The sequence below is a fragment of the Homo sapiens genome, chromosome 6, assembly GCF_000001405.40.
Source record: "Homo sapiens chromosome 6, GRCh38.p14 Primary Assembly".
NCBI lineage: Eukaryota > Metazoa > Chordata > Mammalia > Primates > Hominidae > Homo > Homo sapiens.
This window is the reverse complement of record NC_000006.12, coordinates 170,489,801-170,509,976: the sequence shown is the minus strand read 5'-3', so window position 1 is coordinate 170,509,976 and position 20,176 is coordinate 170,489,801. Positions and strand designations below refer to the sequence as shown.

The window sequence follows — 20,176 nt, the reverse complement described above, 5'->3', positions numbered from 1 at the left end:
AGCTTTGGGGTGCAAATATTCACATTTTTTTTCTCTCCACACGCGAGGTCTTTCCCTCTCTCTCTAGTTGACCCTCATTATTCATGGATTTCTTATTTGTGAATCTACCTACTCACCAACATTTATTGGTAACCCTCAAATCAACCCTCTCAAGTGCACAGAGAAGTGAAAAGTTTGTGTCTTCAGAGCACATGCCCCCAGCTGCATGAGGTGAAAGTTTGTCTTCAGAGCACATGCTTCCAGCTGAATGAGGCGAAAGTTTGTCTTCAGAGCACATGCTCCAAGATGAATGAGGTGAAAGTTTGTCTTCAGAGCACATGCTTCCAGCTGAATGAGTGAAAGTTTGTCTTCAGAGCACATGCTTCCAGCTGAATGAGGCGAAAGTTTGTCTTCAGAGCACATGCTCCAAGATGAATGAGGTGAAAGTTTGTCTTCAGAGCACATGCTTCCAGCTGAATGAGTGAAAGTTTGTCTTCAGAGCACATGCTTCCAGCTGAATGAGTGAAAGTTTGTCTTCAGTGCACATGCTCCCAGCTGAATGAGGCGAAAGTTTGTCTTCAGTGCACATGCTCCCAGATGAATGAGTGAAAGTTTGTCTTCAGAGCACATGCTTCCAGCTGAATGAGGTGAAAGTTTGTCTTCAGTGCACATGCTTCCAGCTGAATGAGTGAAAGTTTGTCTTCAGTGCACATGCTCCAAGATGAATGAGGTGAAAGTTTGTCTTCAGTGCACATGCTTCCAGCTGAATGAGTAAAAGTTTGTCTTCAGAGCACATGCTCCCAGCTGAATGAGTGAAAGTTTGTCTTCAGTGCACATGCTCCCAGCTGAATGAGTGAAAGTTTGTCTTCAGTGCACATGCTCCCAGCTGAATGAGGCGAAAGTTTGTCTTCAGAGCACATGCTCCCAGATGAATGAGGCGAAAGTTTGTCTTCAGAGCACATGCTCCCAGATGAATGAGGCGAAAGTTTGTCTTCAGAGCACATGCTTCCAGCTGAATGAGTGAAAGTTTGTCTTCAGTGCACATGCTTCCAGCTGAATGAGTGAAAGTTTGTCTTCAGAGCACATGCTTCCAGCTGAATGAGTGAAAGTTTGTCTTCAGAGCACATGCTTCCAGCTGAATGAGTGAAAGTTTGTCTTCAGTGCACATGCTCCCAGATGAATGAGGCGAAAGTTTGTCTTCAGTGCACATGCTTCCAGCTGAATGAGTGAAAGTTTGTCTTCAGAGCACATGCTCCCAGCTGAATGAGTGAAAGTTTGTCTTCAGTGCACATGCTCCCAGATGAATGAGGCGAAAGTTTGTCTTCAGTGCACATGCTCCCAGCTGAATGAGTGAAAGTTTGTCTTCAGTGCACATGCTCCCAGCTGAATGAGTGAAAGTTTGTCTTCAGTGCACATGCTCCCAGCTGAATGAGGGGAAAGTTTGTCTTCAGAGCACATGCTTCCAGCTGAATGAGTGAAAGTTTGTCTTCAGAGCACATGCTTCCAGCTGAATGAGTGAAAGTTTGTCTTCAGAGCACATGCTTCCAGCTGAATGAGTGAGTTTGTCTTCAGAGCACATGCTTCCAGCTGAATGAGTGAAAGTTTGTCTTCAGAGCACATGCTTCCAGCTGAATGAGTGAAAGTTTGTCTTCAGAGCACATGCTCCCAGCTGAATGAGTGAAAGTTTGTCTTCAGTGCACATGCTCCCAGATGAATGAGGCGAAAGTTTGTCTTCAGTGCACATGCTTCCAGCTGAATGAGTGAAAGTTTGTCTTCAGAGCACATGCTCCCAGCTGAATGAGTGAAAGTTTGTCTTCAGTGCACATGTTCCCAGATGAATGAGGCGAAAGTTTGTCTTCAGAGCACATGCTCCCAGCTGAATGAGTGAAAGTTTGTCTTCAGTGCACATGCTTCCAGCTGAATGAGTGAAAGTTTGTCTTCAGTGCACATGCTCCCAGCTGAATGAGGGGAAAGTTTGTCTTCAGAGCACATGCTTCCAGCTGAATGAGTGAAAGTTTATCTCCAGTGCACATGCTCCAAGATGAATGAGGTGAAAGTTTGTCTTCAGTGCACATGCTTCCAGTTGAATGAGTGAAAGTTTGTCTTCAGAGCACATGCTTCCAGCTGAATGAGTGAAAGTTTGTCTTCAGTGCACATGCTCCCAGCTGAATGAGGCGAAAGTTTGTCTTCAGTGCACATGCTCCCAGCTGAATGAGGTGATGCTCGGCCTTCTGGTTTTAACTCATACTGTAAGCAACTGTTTTCTTTTCACAGTTTATTTTTTATTTTTTATTTTATTTTATTTTTTGAGACGGAGTCTCGCTCTTTGGCCCAGGCCAGAGTGCAGTGGCGCAGTCTTGCCTCACCGCAAGCTCCGCCTCCCGGCATGAACCCTCAGCCTCCCTTGTAGCTGGGACTACATTCACAGTTTATTTAGTGCCACTTTTTTCGCCGCATTTTTATGCTTTTTGTTGGTGATTTCACTGTTTAAAATAGCCTCAAGCACAGTGCGGAAGTGCTGCTTAGCGTTCCTGAGAGCAAGAAGGCTGTGAGGTGCCTTTCGGAGAAAACACGCATTAGATAAGCTTCATTCAGACATGAGTTACAGTGCCGTTGGTCATGTTACTTACTCTACAATATATACTAAGTAAGGTGTCTTTAAACAGAAACATACATAAAACAAGGTTGTATATTGATGGGGTGATGCTGTGTCCTGAGGCTCACGGGAACCTAACGCGGTCTTTCCTCCATGAGCGATGGTTCACTGTTCACTAATTCAATGTTCGTGCTGAAAAAGAAAAATGACATCCTAAGCCCCTGAGCTGACTGAATGGACTCCTTGTTGGCCAAGGGGGCGCCAGAGAAATTTTAAAAGCTGAGTTCCTGGCCATGATGGAATGGGGAGTTTGGACACGCCTTGTTATACCCCCTCCCTCGCTAATCGCCATTAGACTTCCTTACGCGAGGGTCAATCAGAAGCCACAGCCCTTTCCAAAGACTTGCCAGACTCCCCTTCCGTGGTTTTGACACAGTGACGAACCGGCATTCCTTCCTGATAAGAGACCACCGACCGTGGACTGCTTCTGGCCGGTGTACAGTGGCTGCACACGGGATGCCTCTGCGCCCTCCATTTCATCTTCTACATACAGACCTAATTTTAGTGCATTTAAACGTTAAGTGCTCACCCCAGATTGAATGTGGACGGACATGCATGCATGTTTGCTCTCTATGCATGCATCCATCCATCATGAATAACCTGTTAGATACATGTACTTAGCCAACCCATTTGGCATAAATCCCTGTTCCAGCCTTTCCGCCCTCAAAGTGCCTGCTTTTGGTTTCTGCTTCCTAGCCTGCAAGATGGCCAGCCTGCAGGGTGCAATCCTTTGTCAGAAATAAAGCTCTCCTCTCCAAATGTATGAACCTCGTGATTCTTCAGTTGACAGCAGTGACTTTACAAAACACAGCTACTATAAGTAATGAGCATACTTGTTTATTTTGCTCAAACTTGCCTTCCCCTTACTAACAGTTGAGGAGGAGGTTGGAAAATAAATGTGTATGTGTATGTTTGTGTATATATTTGTATCTTGTCTGTCTTCTATGAATTGCCTGTGGTTTTTTTTTTTGCCCATTTTTCTGTTGAGTTGTCTTTTTCTTGTCAGTTTGAATAATTCATTTATATATTATTCATATTAATTTTTAACCTCTTAAATACTTTGCAAATATTTTATTCAAGTAGACACCTTAAAAGAAACTTCATTTATGTGGGCTTTTCTCATAGGGTGGTTTTAAGTGTGTATGTGATGAAGTTTGCCAGTATTTTCCTTTGTTACTCCTGGGTTTGTTTCTTCTATATTTTATTAGTATAGGTTGAAGGCTTTCTTCAAACTATACTAATAAAATATAATTCTCTGTTTTCACTAGGTTTTAAAAAGTGAGTCTTTTAATTCATCTGGGATATTTTCTGGTGTGCCATAGCATAGAAAACTATTGAATTTAAGCAACTAGTCAGTCTCCTTTTCCTATTCTTTTCAATTGATGTACAAATAATAATACCTTCAGTATTGTTGTATTGCTACCGAGTGAGGAGCTCATTCCTCCCTTTTTTTTCTTCCAGTATTGCCTCCTCCTGCTGCTGTCAGTCTAGAGAGTGGGCTCAAGCTACCATGGTGGGAGTTCTGACCCAGAGCTGATTCTCATTTGTGAGAAATCTCCATTCCATTCCACTCTCCAGCAGCAGGTCCCATGAGCTTACAGTTATACTTTATCTATACTTCAAACAAACCTTTAAAATCTTTATATATAAGTTTAGACTAAAGTCTAGACTTCAAATAAGACTTTAATGGGGAGAGACCCTTTTAAACCTGAAGAGACTGGGAAGAGCAGAGTGCTCCGATTCTGTCAACATAGATGCATGCTGCTCTCTTATGAATTATGTCCCCGAGTGCTCCTTGTTGGCCGCATGCCAGCGTCATCGTGAAGACGTCAGGCATCAGCCAACTGGGGCAGCAGGGCTTGGCACCTGCCCTGAATCCTTAGGTGTCTGATCACGTCACTGAAGAGAGACAACCTCAGCCGGACGCCTCTGGCAGGATCCTCCATGCACAGCAAGACAAACCCTCCCTGACCTGTCAGCTGGCCATGGGCTCTTTGTGGGTGAAATTAGGTTTCCTCACATCAGTGTGGGGCTAAACTTTGCTTTGGGGCCTTCACTGGGCAAGAAGTTAATGTGCACAGATGAGCTCCTGCTCCCATCGCCTTGTCCTTTTGTGTCCCTAGCTCAATAAAGCTAAGGATGGTTAGAAAAGAACTTGGAAACTCCAGAGATCTGTTCCTTCACTGATCCCAGGGCCACAGGGGTGCACAAACCTCCAGAAACAAAAGGAAGTGAGCAGAAAAAAACGTCATAACACAACGGCCATCAACATGCAAAATGCAGGAGCCTTAGGGTCTTCCTTCCAGATACTCGATGTGTTCCAATTTCAGGGTAGTCTCCAAAAGCCTCCCCAGTAGAAGGAACCTTCATTTCTTTCATCCTCCACAGGCCACATGTCCAGAACTGTTTACTGTTTTTCAGATTCTTTAATACAGTTAATTATTTTAAAGGGGAAAAATTGCCTAAAGAATTTGACCATTAGGGACTTAATCCAGGGCCATATTTTCCTGGTGATCAGATGTTCACAGACACAGTGCAATGATGGTGAGGGAGAAGAGGTTTAAGCATAAGAGCAGAAAGGATCTTGTTCCCTCCCTTCAGGGGGCCTCTGAATATTCTCCAGTGAGTTACGACGTTGGTACCATATCTCAGGAAGTCACACCAACTAGACACTTGTAGAAGCCAATGTGTTCCCTTGCTGTGGTGTATGTGGGTTAGAAAATAATTTTCAAGTGTTTGCTTTTCCATTAAGCTTCATGAGATCAGAAGAAAATCTTACTCCCTGTCCAGAGCACTTGCAGGTCTCTCGTGCCTCCTGCTCTGCTTTTCGCTGGTGCTCTGGTAAATGATGCATGTGCTCAGAGAGCCTGACCAAGAAGGGCAGCCTTGATTTCCCACTCAGCAGGCAGGAAGCCACCTTCTAGATCAGCAGAGGTCCTCCCTGGAAACTCCATAGGCCTGTGGGACACCAGCTTCTGTGGCTTCCTGTGGGACACCAGCTTCTGTGGCTTGCTTGGAAGACTGGAGGGGAGCTGGACAAGCTTGATGCCTGCTGTTTGGTGACCTAGGACTCATTCCAACTCCCCTTCCCAGGTGGCTGCAGGACTTGCATTTAATTTCCTTCTCCAGACAGCTGCAGGATGTACCCTTCATTCCCTTCCCCTGATGGCTGCAGGATGTGACCCACATTCCCTTCCCCAGAAGGCTGCAGGACATGCCCCTCATTCCCTTCCCCTGATGGGTGTGGAACATACCACTCATTCCCTTTCCTTAATGGGGGCAGAATGTGCCCATCATTCCCTTTTCCTGATGGGTGCAAGACATACCAGTCAGTCCCTTCTCCTGATGGCTGCAGGATGGGCCCATCGTTCCCTTTTCCTGATGGGTGTGGAACATACCACTCATTCCCTTTCCTTAATGGGGGCAGAATGTGCCCATCATTCCCTTTTCCTGATGGGTGCAAGACATACCGGTCAGTCCCTTCTCCTGATGGCTGCAGGATGGGCCCATCGTTCCTTTCCCCTAGTGGAGGCAGGACATGCCACTCATTCCCTTGCCTTAATGAGGGCAGAATGTGCCCACCATTCCCTTCCCCTGATGGGTGCAGGACATGCCCATCAGTCCCTTCTCATGATAGATGCAGGACATGCCCATCATTCCCTTCCCCTGATGGGTGCAGGACATGCCCATCATTCCCTTCCCCTGATGGCTGCAGGACATGCCCATCATTCCCTTCCCCTGATGGCTGCAGGATGTGCCCATCATTCCCTTCCCCTGATGGCTGCAGGATGTGCCCATCATTCCCTTCCCCTAGTGGGAGCAGGACATGCCACTGATTCTCTTCCCTTAATGGGTGCAGGACATGCCCCCTCATTTCTATGCCCCAATGGCTGCAGGATGTACCCCTCATTGCTGCAGGGCATGCCCTTCATTCCCTTTCCCAGATGGCTTCAGGATGTGACCTTCATTCCCTTCCCCGATGGCTGCAGGATATACTCCTCATTCCCATCCCAAGTTGGTTGCAGGACATGCCTCTTATTCCTTTTCCCAGATGGCTGCAGGACATATCCTATCCCTTTCCCCCAGATGGCTGCCAGATGTGACCCTTATTATTTTACCCAGATAGCTGCAGTACATTCCCCTCATTTCCTTTCTCTCATGGCTGCAGAACATGCCCCTCATTCCCTTCTCCTGATGGCTGCAGAACATGTCTCTCATTTCCTTTCCCTGATGGCTACAGAACATGCCCTTCCTTTCCTTCCCCTGATGGCTGTGGGACATGCCCCTCATTTCCTTCCCCTGATGGCTGCAGGACATGTTCCTCATTTCCTTCCCCTGATGGCTGCAGAACATGCCCCTCACTCCCTTCCCCTGATGGCTGCAGAACATGTCCCTTATTTCCTTTCCTTGATGGCTGCGGGACATGCCCCTACTTTCCTTCCCCTGATGGCTGCAGGACATGTTCCTCATTTCCTTCCCCTGATGGCTGCAGAACATGCCCCTCATTCCCTTCTCCTGATGGCTGCACAACATGTCCCTCATTTCCTCCCCCTGATGGCTGCAGAACATGCCCCTCATTCCCTTCTCCTGATGGCTGCACAACATGTCCCTCATTTCCTCCCCCTGATGGCTGCAGGACATGCCCCTCCTTTCCTTCCCCTGATGGCTGCAGGACATGTTCCTCATTTCCTTCCCTTGATGGCTGCAGAACATGTCCCTCATTTCCTTCCCCTGATGGCTGCAGAACGTGTCCCTCATTTTCATCCCCTGATGGCTGCAGAACATGTCCCTCCTTTCCTTCCCCTGATGGCTGCAGGACATGCCCCTCCTTTCCTTCCCCTGATGGCTGCAGGACATGTTCCTCATTTCCTTCCCCTGATGGCTGCAGAACATGTCCCTCATTTTCATCCCCTGATGGTGGCAGAACATGTCCCTCTTTTCCTTCCCCAGATGGCTGCAGAACATGTCCCTCATTTCCTTCCCCAGATGGCTGTAGGACATGCCCCTCATTCCCTTCCCCTGATGGCTGCAGAACATGTCCCTCATTTTCATCCCCTGGCGGTGGCAGAACATGTCGCTCATTTCCTTCCCCACATGGCTGCAGAACATGTCCCTCATTTCCTTCCCCTGATGGCTGTGGGACATGCCTCTTTTTTCCTTCCCCTGCTGTGAGACATGCCCCTCATTCCCTTCCCCTGATGGCTGCAGAACATATCCCTCATTTTCATCCCCTGACAGTGGCAGAACATGTCCCTCATTTCCTTCCCCTGGTGGCCGCAGGACAGTTCCCTTATTTCCTTCCCCTGACAGCTGGAGGACATGCTCCTCAGTCCCTTCTCCTGATGGCTGCAGAACATGTCCCTCATTTCCTTTCCCTGATGGCTGTGGGACATGCCCCTCATCTCCTTCCCCTGACGGCTGCAGAACACGTCCCTCATTTCCTTCCCCTGATGGTTGCGTGATATGCCTCTCATTTCCCTCCCCTGATGGGTACAGGACATGTCCCTCATTTCTTTCCCCTGATGGCTGCAGAACACATCCCTCATTTCGTTCCCTTGATGGCTGCAGAACATGTCCCTCATTTCCTTCCCCTGATGGCTGCAGAACACGTCCCTCATTTCCTTCCCCTGATGGTTGCGGGATATGCCTCTCATTTCCCTCCCCTGATGGGTACAGGACATGTCCCTCATTTCTTTCCCCCGATGGCTGCAGAACACATCCCTCATTTCGTTCCCTTGATGGCTGCAGAACATGGCCCTCATTTCCTTCCCCTGATGGCTGCAGGACATGTCTCTTATTTCCTTCCTCAGATGGCTACAGGACATGTTCCTCATTTCCTTCCCCTGATGGCTGCAGGACATGCCTCTCATTTCCTTCCCCTGATGGCTGCAGTGCATGCCCCTCTTTTTCTTCCCCTGGTGGCTGCAGGACATACTCCTCATTTCCCTCTCCTGATAGCTGTGGGACATGTCCCTCATTTCCTTCCCCTGATGTCTGTGGGACATGCCTCTCATTCCCTTTGGCTCTGGGATGGGACATGTCCCTCATTTCCTTCCCCTGATGGCCGTGGGACATGCCCCTCATTTCCTTCCCCTGGTGGCTGCAAGACATACTCCTCATTTCCCTCTCCTGATGGCTGCAGGACATACTTCTCATTTCCCTCTCCTGATGGCTGTGGGACATGTCCCTCATTTCCTTCCCCTGATGGCTGCAGGACACGCCTCTCATTTCCTTCCCCTGATGGCTGCAGGACACGCCTCTCATTTCCTTCCCCTGATGGCTGCAGTGCATGCCCCTCTTTTTCTTCCCTGATGGCTGCAGGACATGCCTCTCATTTCCTTTTCCTGAAGGCTGCAGTGCATGCCCCTCTTTTTCTTCCCCTAATGGCTACAGGACATACTCCTTATTTCCCTCTCCTGATGGCCGTGGGACATATCCCTCATTTCCCTCTCCTGATGGCCATGGGACATGCCTCTCATTCCCTTTGGCTCTGGGAAATGACGGTTCCTCAGAGAGGTCAGTACTACTCTGCTTTGCCAATGCCTGCTTTTTGGTCATGGGCTTGTTCTTTTTGGGCCGGACATTCTCTGTTCTGATCTAGTAGATGGGAGCCTGGCATTTAGTAGTGTTCAGTAAATGCTTGTGGAGTGAATGCATGGGTCCAGCTCTCCTACCTGTGCAGAAAAGCATTGGGGCTACATGGCCATGTGACATGGGACAGGTGATCTCTTGTCTCTGAGCCTCAGCTGCTCACACCACATGGTTTTTGAGGGAGACTTGTTGATTTGGTCATGGAAGTGCCTGAGAAGACAAAGCGACACCAGGAACCACAGGCAGAAAGTGAGGCATCTGGTTCCATCAGTGAGCAGACAGTGGGGAGTCATCCAAGACCAGAACTAGAACCACTGGGGCAGGGAGTTTCAGAAACAGCAGGGGCAGGGGGGTGTGACTGAGGAGACAAATATAATACCAAGAGGCCAGAAGAAAACACTCCTGGTTAAGGGTTTCAGACCCCTCTCTCATCGGGACCCTCATCCCACCCCAGAGAGCCCACTCTGGGTGGTTAAGGTTTTCAGACCCTTCTCTCATTGGGACCCTCATCCCACCCCAGGTAGCACTGCAGTTCCACAACTGAGAGATAAGCTTAGTCAGAAAACAAAACAGGACAGAAAGGGAGGGTCCAGTGGGGGTCTCAAGGGCCTACAGGCCAGGAGGCTTCCTGGAAGGCCTTAAGTGTCATGCAGGGGTCTTTGGGTCTTGTAGGGAAGGGCCACCTTCCTGAGGGGTTGACGGTCAGGGACAGATTTCAGGGAATGCCAGCAGGGAGGGATCTGGAGTGGGCTGAGGGCCTGTGTTAGCCGGGCCCAGCAGGGAAGGTGCTTTGGAGAACAGGCTTTTCCACTCACACTATGGTACGCCCTCCGGGGGAGGGTAGGGGATGGCTCCACGTGCCATACCTTCTCTGTCTGTCTCTCATTAGCTCTCCGGTGGCACTACAGTGCTCAAATCAGGATTGCCAAAGTTCAGAATTAGCTGTTCTGAAGAAACGTGAGCCCACAGAAGGGCCCCAAGCCTCATGGAAACTCTCTCTAAAGCAGTGGTCTGAGCTGGGGCACCCAAAACAGACATCTTTTGCTTTCAAAAGCCTCTGCACTCCAAACAATACATGTGAGTCCTTCCTCGCTCCCTCTCCACGCCAACCCTGAGTGTGGGCTGGATTTAGTGGCTTTAGAACAGAATGTTAAATAGAAAAACTAGTTACTTACAGTGGAGAAACCTGGCAGACCCACCTCAACCAGGAGATGAAGGCTAACATCACCCAAGTCACATTGCTATCCTGGGAAGGGCAGCTCACATTCTTCCCCAAAGCCCACAACCTCAATCTAATCATGAGGAAACAACAGACAAACCCAATTCACGGGATATTCAAGGAAAGACTGAGGAACTGTCACAGACCAGAGTACCTGAGAAGGCATAACAACTAAATGCAGCACAGGGTCCTGGATGTGTCCTGGGGCAAAAGAACGGGTGAAATCTGAATATGGTCTGGAGCTTAGTAGTGGTGATGTGCCAATGTTAACTGCTAGTTTTGATACATGTGCTAATGTTAATTCTTAGTTTTGATACAAATGTCAACATAAACTCTTAGTTTTCATACACGTGCCAATGTTCATTCTTGGTTTTGATACATATGCCAATGTTCATTCTTAGTTTTGACACGTGTCTATGCTAATTTTTATTTATTTTAATTGTATTTATTTGTTTATTAATTACCATCTATGGACTCACAGAACCAATGTTATTTCTTAGTTTTGGTACATGTACCAAGGTTACACAGAATTTTGACATTAGCGAAGCTGGGTGGAGGATATATAGAAACTCTGTACTATCTTTGCAACTACCCTATAAATCTCAAAGACTATTCGAGAACAAAAAGTTAGAGGAAGGCCCGCAGCAAGATTCCACTCTGTTTCACCTGGGGTGTCCTGGTCACTCAGGCCCTGGGGCAGCCATGCAGTGGGTCCTGCCTGCTTTGCTACCCCCTTCATTCTGTTCACGCATGTTAGCTGTGGGCTACCCCAACTCCACTCCCCAGCCTTACAGCCATGCCCTGGGCCTCCACATGTCCAAGAGGGTCTTCAGACTAGGTGGGGGACAGTGTCCAGGACCTTCCTCACAAGAGGGGCAGTTCAGGCCAGGTGTGGTGTCTCACACCTGTAATCCCAGCACTTTGGGAGGCCGAGGTGGGCAGATCACCTGAGGTCAGGAGTTCAAGACCAGCCTGGCTAAAATGACGAAACCCTGTCTCTACTAAATAGACAAAAATTAGCCAGGTGTGGTGGCACGTACCTGTAGTCCAGCTACTTGGGAGGCTGAGGCAGGAGAATCTCTTGAACCCAGGAGGTGGAGGTTGCAGTGAGCAGAGATCCAGCCACTGTACTCCAGCCTGGGCGACAAAGCAAGTCTCCATCTCAAAAAAAAAAAAAAAAAAAAGAGGGGTAGTTTGGGAATCTCGCCCAGGTCAGCTCCCTGGCCATCTCAGCTGCTGACAACCAGCCAACTGGAAAGTTTCAACTGAAATTCTGTGCCGTCATCAACCTGCCCTCATCAGTAAATTCCTGGAGGGCCCAGGCTCAGACAATGGTTGTATTCAACTTGAAAGCAGACATATTTGAAGACAAAGCCCCTGCCATATGTCTATGAGCAAGAGCCAAACAGAGCAGTGGGCTTAAGGGGAGGGGCACAGCTGACAGTCTCTCCTCTCTGGGAGACTCTGGGAGGAGGATTACTTAGGGCTGCAGACATAAAAGGAAAGTGCTTCTTGCTCCTCCCGGGTCTGCAACTGGGTTTTGTTAGCCACTGTAGGTCAACAAAGGTAAGAAAGGAGCTTCATGTTAACCCAACCGGCCCAGAATCCAGGACAATGAGTTGGCCCAGCAGGAGGCAGGAACATGAGAAGGCAGTGGAGCCTGGCTGTGTGCTCGCTGTGGTGCTGGGCTCTTTCCATCATTATTTCATTGCAGACAGCAACTCTGTTTTGTCACATAGATGGAGAACCTGGGACTCAGAGAGGTTAAATTCTTTTCCAAAGTCATGCTAGCTAGAAAGTGGAAGAAGTTGAATCTGACCCCAAAGCTTGTAAGATTACAGCTTTTAGCTTCTTACAGTTCACTGAAAACTACAAACAACAGCATAATGTTTAAGAGTTCAGACAGGATGTGAATCTTGGCTTTGTCATTCAGTAACTGTGCCACCTTGGATAAGTCAATCTATCCAATGCCTCAGTTTCCACATCTGTTAAAAAGGAGGGATAATGGTAGCATCTATTTCATTGGACCAAGTAAATCAATTAACATATACAACCTAAAAGAATACCTAACATGAAATAAGTGGTCACTATAAATAATAGCTGCTATTATTACATTTAAAGAGTTATTACAATGATTTAAAAATCTATCTTTGCAGATTTATCTCCTGTTGGTTGCTTAACTTCTAGAACAACCTGTAGTTTCTTGGACTTCCCCTGCTTTCCTGCCTCAACATCTTGATTCACTGTGTCTACAGGACTTTGTAGGTTACAGGTAACAGAAAAACCCAACTAAAAATGGCTTAAACAATAAAGCGACTTCAGGCGAGACTTGGTCCAGTCACTGAATCCAAGTTTTCCTTCATTTATCTGGTTTGCCTTGTGTATTTGCCTCTTGTGTATTATAACATCATTGATTCTAACTGGGCTACAAGCCTGTCCCTGAAGTAATGGCTCTGATCAGGAAGATGGGAAATGCTGATTGACTTAAGCCACTGAGGACCCAGTCCTGGAGCTGGGACTAAAGGTCAGCTTTCTCCAGTTATGTGAAGAGGAAGCAGTAGTTTCTGAGAGGACAACCAGGGCCCTGTTGTCAGAAGATAGAACCAATTCACTTTGCTGGCTGCCTTACCTACTATTCCCTCAGCCCCTCCATCCTCGTTTTCACCACCGCTCTGTAGTTCCTCCAACCCCGTCCCCCTCTTCACCACCGCTCTGTAGTTCCTCCAACCCCATCCTCCTTTTCACCACCGCTCTGTAGTTCCTCCAACCCCATCCTCCTCTTCACCACCGCTCTGTAGTTCCTCCAACCCCATCCTCCTTTTCACCACCGCTCTGTAGTTCCTCCAACCCCGTCCTCCTCTTCACCACCGCTCTGTAGTTCCTCCAACCCCATCCTCTTCACCACCGCTCTGTAGTTCCTCCAACCCCATCCTCCTCTTCACCACCGCTCTGTAGTTCCTCCAACCCCGTCCTCCTCTTCACCACCGCTCTGTAGTTCCTCCAACCCCATCCTCTTCACCACCGCTCTGTAGTTCCTCCAACCCCATCCTCTTCACCACCGCTCTGTAGTTCCTCCAACCCCATCCTCATTTTTACCACCGCTCTGTAGTTCCTCCAACCCCGTCCTCCTTTTCACCACCGCTCTGTAATTCCTCCAACCCCGTCCTCCTCTTCACCACCGCTCTGTAGTTCCTCCAACCCCATCCTCCTCTTCACCACCGCTCTGTAATTCCTCCAACCCCGTCCTCCTCTTCACCACCGCTCTGTAGTTCCTCCAACCCCATCCTCCTCTTCACCACCGCTCTGTAGTTCCTCCAACCCCGTCCTCCTTTTCACCACCGCTCTGTAGTTCCTCCAACCCCATCCTCCTCTTCACCACCGCTCTGTAGTTCCTCCAACCCCATCCTCCTTTTCACGACCCCTATGTAGTTCCTCCAACCCCATCCTCCTCTTCACCACCGCTCTGTAGTTCCTCCAACCCCATCCTCCTTTTTACCACCGCTCTGTAGTTCCTCCAACCCCATCCTCCTCTTCACCACCGCTCTGTAGTTCCTCCAACCCCGTCCTCCTCTTCACCACCTCTCTGTAGTTCCTCCAACCCCGTCCTCCTCTTCACCACCGCTCTGTAGTTCCTCCAACCCCATCCTCATTTTTACCACCGCTCTGTTGTTCCTCCAACCCCATCCTCCTTTTCACGACCCCTCTGTAGTTCCTCCAACCCCATCCTCCTCTTCACCACCGCTCTGTAGTTCCTCCAACCCCATCCTCCTCTTCACCACCGCTCTGTAGTTCCTCCAACCCCATCCTCCTCTTCACCACCGCTCTGTAGTTCCTCCAACCCCGTCCTCATTTTTACCACCGCTCTGTAGTTCCTCCAACCCCATCCTCTTCACCACCGCTCTGTAGTTCCTCCAACCCCATCCTCCTCTTCACCACCGCTCTGTAGTTCCTCCAACCCCATCCTCCTCTTCACCACCGCTCTGTAGTTCCTCCAACCCCATCCTCATTTTTACCACCGCTCTGTAGTTCCTCCAACCCCATCCTCTTCACCACCGCTCTGTAGTTCCTCCAACCCCATCCTCCTCTTCACCACTGCTCTGTAGTTCCTCCAACCCCATCCTCCTCTTCACCACCGCTCTGTAATTCCTCCAACCCCATCCTCCTTTTCGCCACCGCTCTGTAGTTCCTCCAACCCCATATCCTCTTCACCACCACTCTGTAGTTCCTCCAACCCCATCCTCCTCTTCACCACTGCTCTGTAATTCCTCCAACCCCATCCTCCTTTTCACCACCGCTCTGTAGTTCCTCCAACCCCATATCCTCTTCACCACCACTCTGTAGTTCCTCCAACCCCATCCTCCTCTTCACCACCGCTCTGTAGTTCCTCCAACCCCATCCTCCTCTTCACCACTGCTCTGTAATTCCTCCAACCCCATCCTCCTTTTCGCCACCGCTCTGTAGTTCCTCCAACCCCATATCCTCTTCACCACCGCTCTGTAGTTCCTCCAACCCCATCCTCCTCTTCACCACTGCTCTGTAATTCCTCCAACCCCATCCTCCTTTTCACCACCGCTCTGTAGTTCCTCCAACCCCATCCTCCTCTTCACCACCGCTCTGTAATTCCTCCAACCCCATCCTCCTTTTCACCACCCCTCTGTAGTTCCTCCAACCCAGTCAAAATTCGATTCACCCTTTTGGGTCCCTCCTAAATGCCTGTGTGCCTGGGACATAGTGGGTGTCCAATAAATTTCTGCTGAGTGAATGAACTTCCCTCTTCAAGAAACCCTTCCTGATGCTACCGATAAAACAATTTCTGCCTTCTCCCAACTTCCACAGATCTTGTATGTAACTTGCTTATGGCATTTAGTGTCTTTCTGTTGTTGCTTATGTGATTGTTCTGTTCTCTTCATTAGACTATTCAATACTTTATATGTGGTCTTTTTTTCCTACCCTTTCTTTCCTGGTATGCAAGAAACCCCATAAATCTTTGGTGATTTATTTAATAAATGAAAGAGGAAGTGAATGGCAGATTAATAGACTGAAAACAGCCATTTAGGTGCTGAATTGTTGTAGATTTAAAGCTTGGGTCTGGGTGAAATTCCTGGGGAAGAGAGAAGAGCCATAAAGAACCTGGGCACACCAGCATCTGAGGGCTCAGCAGGAGAGACTAAAAGAGCAGGAGCAGGAACAGCCGTCTGGCAACCTCTATGCTCAGCAGTGCATGTGGCCTTGTTGTGGCAGCTGGAAGCTCCCCAGCTGTAGGAAGATCAGTAACATTTTGCAAAGGAGAATGAGGAGAGGGCAGATGGAGAGCCCTGGACTTCATTCTGAAGGCTTCAGGAAGCCAACCAAGCATTTCAAGCAGGGGGATGAGTGGTGAGACTAGTGATTTTGATCCATCATTCCAGCAGTTGTTCAAGTTCAGCTGGAAGAAGAGATACCAAGTCAGAACCAAGGCTGGGTTCTAAAAAAGCGGCCGGGCGCGGTGGCTCACACTGTAATCCCAGCACTTCAGGAGGCCGAGGCGGGTGGATCATGAGGTCAGGAGTTCGAGACCAGCCTGGCCAACATGGCGAGGCCCCATGGCTACTAAAAATACAAAAATTAGCCAGGCGTGTTGGCACGCACCTGTAATCTCAGCTACTCGGGAGGCTGGGGCAGAATAATCGCTTGAACCAGGGAAACAGAGGTTGCAGTGAGCCAAGGTGGCGCCACTGCACTCCAGCCTGGGAAACACAGTGAGACCCTGTCTCAAAATAAATAAATAAATACATAAATATTAAAAAGAGAGTTATAGTGGAGAAAAGTGGTGAATTGAGAGGTGCTTAGGAGGCAGATCTGCAGGACATGGTGACTGGCAGGTGTGAGGAAGAGGAGCAGCTACAAATCCGCCTTTCATGGATTCTGAGATCCGGGAGCCTCAGTACTCACATGTCCACCATCCTCCTCACCTTCCTCTCCTCCTCCCCTCCTCACCTCCTCTCCTCCCCTCCTCCTCTCCTCCTCACCTCCTCACCTCCTCTCCTCCTCTCCTCCCCTCCTCCTCACCTCCTCCTCTTCCCCTCCTCACCTCCTCCTCTTCCCCTCCTGCCCTCCTCCTCTCCTCCTCTCTTCCTCCCCTCCTCTTCCCCTCCTCCCCTCCTCCTCCCCTCCTCCTCCTCTCCTCCCCTCCTCCCCTCCTCCTCCTCTCCTCCCCTCCTCCCCTCCTCCTCCTCTCCTCCCCTCCTCCTCCTCTCCTCCCCTCCTCCCCTCCTCCTCCTCTCCTCCCCTCCTCCTCCCCTCCTCACCTCCTCTCCTCCTCTCCTCCCCCCCTCCTCCTCACCTCCTTCTCCTCTCCTCCTTACCTCCTGGTCCTCATTAGAAATAGGCACAAAGAGCAGGGCTAGGAATTAAGGGTGGGTGATGGAGTAGTACCTTCATGGGACCAGGGAGGCTGCTCAGGTGTATGACTCTAGACAAAGGAGTCCCACAAGTTCCTGGAGCACAGCCCCATTTACTTGGATTCAACAGTCTCATCTGGGAAGAAAGTGAGTCTTGCAGAGCCCTGTCCCCTCTGGGCCCCTTGGGGCCCTGTTTGTGAGTGGCATGTCTGCCAGGGAGAGGGTGGCTGTGCTGTCACAGGCTAGAGGTCTGAGGTGGCCAGTAGAACCAGTAGCCAGGTAGAGAATTGCAAGAAGGCCTGGGCCAATGGCATCCAATGCCCAGGTTAAAGGGCTGTCCTGGGGGCTCCTCCAGTAAATGGGAATGAAATGTAGGACTTTTCCCAGAGCCTGGGATCTTTTATTCCTTGGCAGGGGTAGTAGCAATCACTTTCACTATCACCATAGTGACATTAATAGTCATGACTTACTGATATTGTGCATTGGTCACTATGATCCATGATTGACACATATTATCCAACGCAATCTTCACAACACTCCTTTGAGGTAGATACTATCATTATGCCCACTGTGTAGATGAGAAAACTGACGAGGCACAGTGGCTCAGGCCTGTAATCCCAGCACTTTGTGAAGCCCAGGGGGGCAGATCACCTGAGGTCAGGAGTTCTAGACCAGCTGGCCAACATGGTGAAACCGCATCTCTACTGAAAATACAAAAATTAGCCTGGCATGGTGGTGCATACCTGTAATCCCAGCTACTCGGGAGGCTGAGGCAGGAGTATTGCTTGAACCTGGGAGATGGAGGTTGCAGTGAGCTGAGATAGCACTACTGCACTCCAGCCTGAGTGACAGAGTGAAACTCTGTGTCAAAAAAAAAAAAAAGAGAACTGAGGCACATAAGTCAAGTAATGCATTTGTATATACCTGGATTTTTGACCTGCAGGTTAGGGATTAGGAAATGGTAACCACCGTAATCCATGTAAGCAAACACTATACTGAATTCTATGGGAAAATTTGGCTTTCCCAATGACAGGGGAAAGAAAGTTCTATTCCCCTTGGGAATTTTGGACAGTGTGTTAATGTGCCCTGGATGTAGAAGGAGATTAATATCTTTCAGAAAGAGAGAAAGCATGGCAAACATTACTAGAATACCTAGTATTCTAGCATTACTAGACAACCCTGCATGTGCCTTGTCTCTAACCCAGCATTCAAAGATTTCACTGAAAAGTGAAGATTTCCCACCCTGTGAACAAGAGTTGTCTGATGGCATCCATTAGAGTCAAACAGGCACCCCCAAAACCACAGCCCTGGGCTCATATAGGCACTGGAATGCATTATCCTGAACAAGAAACTGGCCCCACCAAAAGCAGTTGTATATCATTGTTTTCTGAGTCAGTCTGCGGGAGTTGAAACTACAGACTAGTGAAATAAATTAATTCCCTAATGTTAGCATACATACAAAGAAACTCTGATATAATTAACACAATGAATGTAACAGGTATTAGTTACAGAATACTAGCTACCATAATGAACAAACCTGAACTTTTAGTGGCAAAACACAATAGAAGTTTCTTTCTTGTGAAGCTCATGGTAGGAGTTCCTGATGAGTGGTTATAGCAGTGGTGGTGGTAGGTCTCTGCTCCATGTAGACATTCAGGCACCCAAGCTGATGGGGGTTCTGCCACCTTCCATGTGTGATTTCCAAGGTTATCCTGAGTCTCAATATCCAGCAGGCAGATTGGAAAAGAGGGAACATGGAGTATCTGTCTTAGTCTGCTCAGGCTGCCGTAACAAAATACCGTAGACGACTGGGTGACTTAAACAACAGGAATTTATTTTCTCCCAGTTCTGGAGGCTGGAAGTCTGAGATCAAGGCATCAGCAGGGTCAGGCTCTGGGGAGGGCTCTCTCCTTGGGTTGCAGATGGCTGCCTTCTTGCTGTGTCCTCACTTGGCCTTTCCTTGGTGTGTGCATGTGGAATGAGAAACACTTCTCTTCCTCTTCTTGTAAGGCCACCTATCCTATTGGCTCCCGGCGCTATTCTTTTGACCTCATTTAACTTTACCTCCTAAAAGCCCTATCTCCAAACATGGTCACACCGGGATTAGGCCTTCAACATGTGAATTCTGGGGTGCATTCAGTTTATAGCAGGCCACCTGGGAAGGTTTTATGAGTCAGGCTTGGAAGCAGTATAAACGCTTTGGCCCATATTCCACTGACGGTACCTCAGTCCCATTGCACCCAACTGCAAGGGGGCTGAGAAGTGCAGTCCAGCTGTGCCCTGGGAGAGTGAGGTGAGTTTGGGGAACAGCTTTGTCAGCTTTGTCATTCCACAGTGCCTGCGAGTCTCTGGTTTCACCGAGAGGGAGAGGGCATTTACGTTAAATTTCAGCCTTGGCAATTGTGGTATCTCATAATAGGCATAAGGTAGATAAAGGTGGATGTCTTAGTTATCTACTGATGCATGACAAATCACCCCCCAAATTAAATGGTTTAATCAATAACCAGTTATCCTCTAACACAGTCTGTAAGTGTAGCTTTGCTGGGTAGTTCGGGCTCAGGGTCTCTTAGGACACTGTCATGAAGCTGGGGCTGAAGTCGTCTGAAGGCTTGACCTTGACCTTGACCTGGTTGGAAGATCTGCTTCTAAAATGGCTGAATCCCATGCCTGGCCAGTTGGTATTGGCTGCTGGGTGGGGGTTTCAGCTTCTCACCACAAGGACTCTCCATAGTGCTGCTTGAGTGGCAGCTGGGTTCCCCCAGAGCAAGTGACCCAAGAAAGTGAGCAGGGTACACATGCTTTCTTATGACAAGTGACACCTCTTCATTGCTTCATGTTCGATTTGTATGAAGTGAGTTGTGAAGCACTGCCACGCTTAAGGGGAAAGGAATTAGACTGCCTTTTGAAGGGAAGAATATCAAAGAATTTGTGGACATATTTAAAAATCATTGTGATGGGTGTGTCTAAACTTAACCCATAAAACTTGACCCCCAAGCCACCTTATAAATATTACTTGGTGATCTTAATTTTGTTGGTAGGTTTGTAATGCAATATAACCTAGTCACATACCAGCTGTGGGAATTTGGGCTAATTCCTGAGCAGTTTTGTCATCTGTTGATTAGGGAAGACTTGTGGCAGCCCCACTCCCAACCCCAGGGGACACCTCGTGTCTCTAGTGTGCACAAAGGTCTGGATAGTAGCAGAATCTACCTCATAGCAGCTGGGTGAAGACTAAAGGCAGTAAGAGAAGCTGGCACGTAGCATAGCATGGACTTCCCCACTGTGAGCTGTTTTTGTTACTAATGGCTGCGCCTGTGCCTGGGATCTCGCTATCTCTGAGCTCTGTTCGTT

At 48.8% G+C, this 20,176-nt stretch overlaps 1 long non-coding RNA gene across 3 annotated transcripts in view, besides 3 other annotated features; it reads left to right on the top strand.

The window, feature by feature from the left end:
* Positions 887-2,086: an enhancer, noted in NCBI's record as "MED14-independent group 3 enhancer chr6:170816979-170818178 (GRCh37/hg19 assembly coordinates)". NCBI's record gives its function as "activates an origin of replication core promoter dependent on BRD2, BRD4, P300/CBP and CDK7 cofactors, and independent of MED14, by STARR-seq in HCT116 cells {active_cell/tissue: HCT116}" and the evidence as "EXISTENCE:reporter gene assay evidence [ECO:0000049][PMID:35650434]".
* Positions 1,324-1,564: a silencer, noted in NCBI's record as "fragment chr6:170817501-170817741 (GRCh37/hg19 assembly coordinates)". NCBI's record gives its function as "represses an EF-1alpha promoter that drives an FKBP-Casp9 reporter gene in an ReSE screen in K562 erythroleukemia cells {active_cell/tissue: K562}" and the evidence as "EXISTENCE:reporter gene assay evidence [ECO:0000049][PMID:32094911]".
* Positions 11,525-12,355: an enhancer, noted in NCBI's record as "OCT4-NANOG-H3K27ac-H3K4me1 hESC enhancer chr6:170806710-170807540 (GRCh37/hg19 assembly coordinates)". NCBI's record gives its function as "activates a minimal SCP1, AML or CMV promoter by ChIP-STARR-seq in naive and primed H9 embryonic stem cells {active_cell/tissue: H9 hESC(naive and primed)}" and the evidence as "EXISTENCE:reporter gene assay evidence [ECO:0000049][PMID:30033119]".
* Positions 12,606-20,176, top strand: part of LOC105378157 (uncharacterized) — a 28,344-nt gene continuing 20,773 nt past the window's right edge. For all 3 annotated transcript variants that reach the window (XR_001744492.2, XR_001744493.2, XR_001744491.2), the window contains exon 1: positions 12,606-12,717. This is a non-coding gene — a long non-coding RNA (uncharacterized LOC105378157). The remainder of the gene's footprint in view (positions 12,718-20,176) is intronic.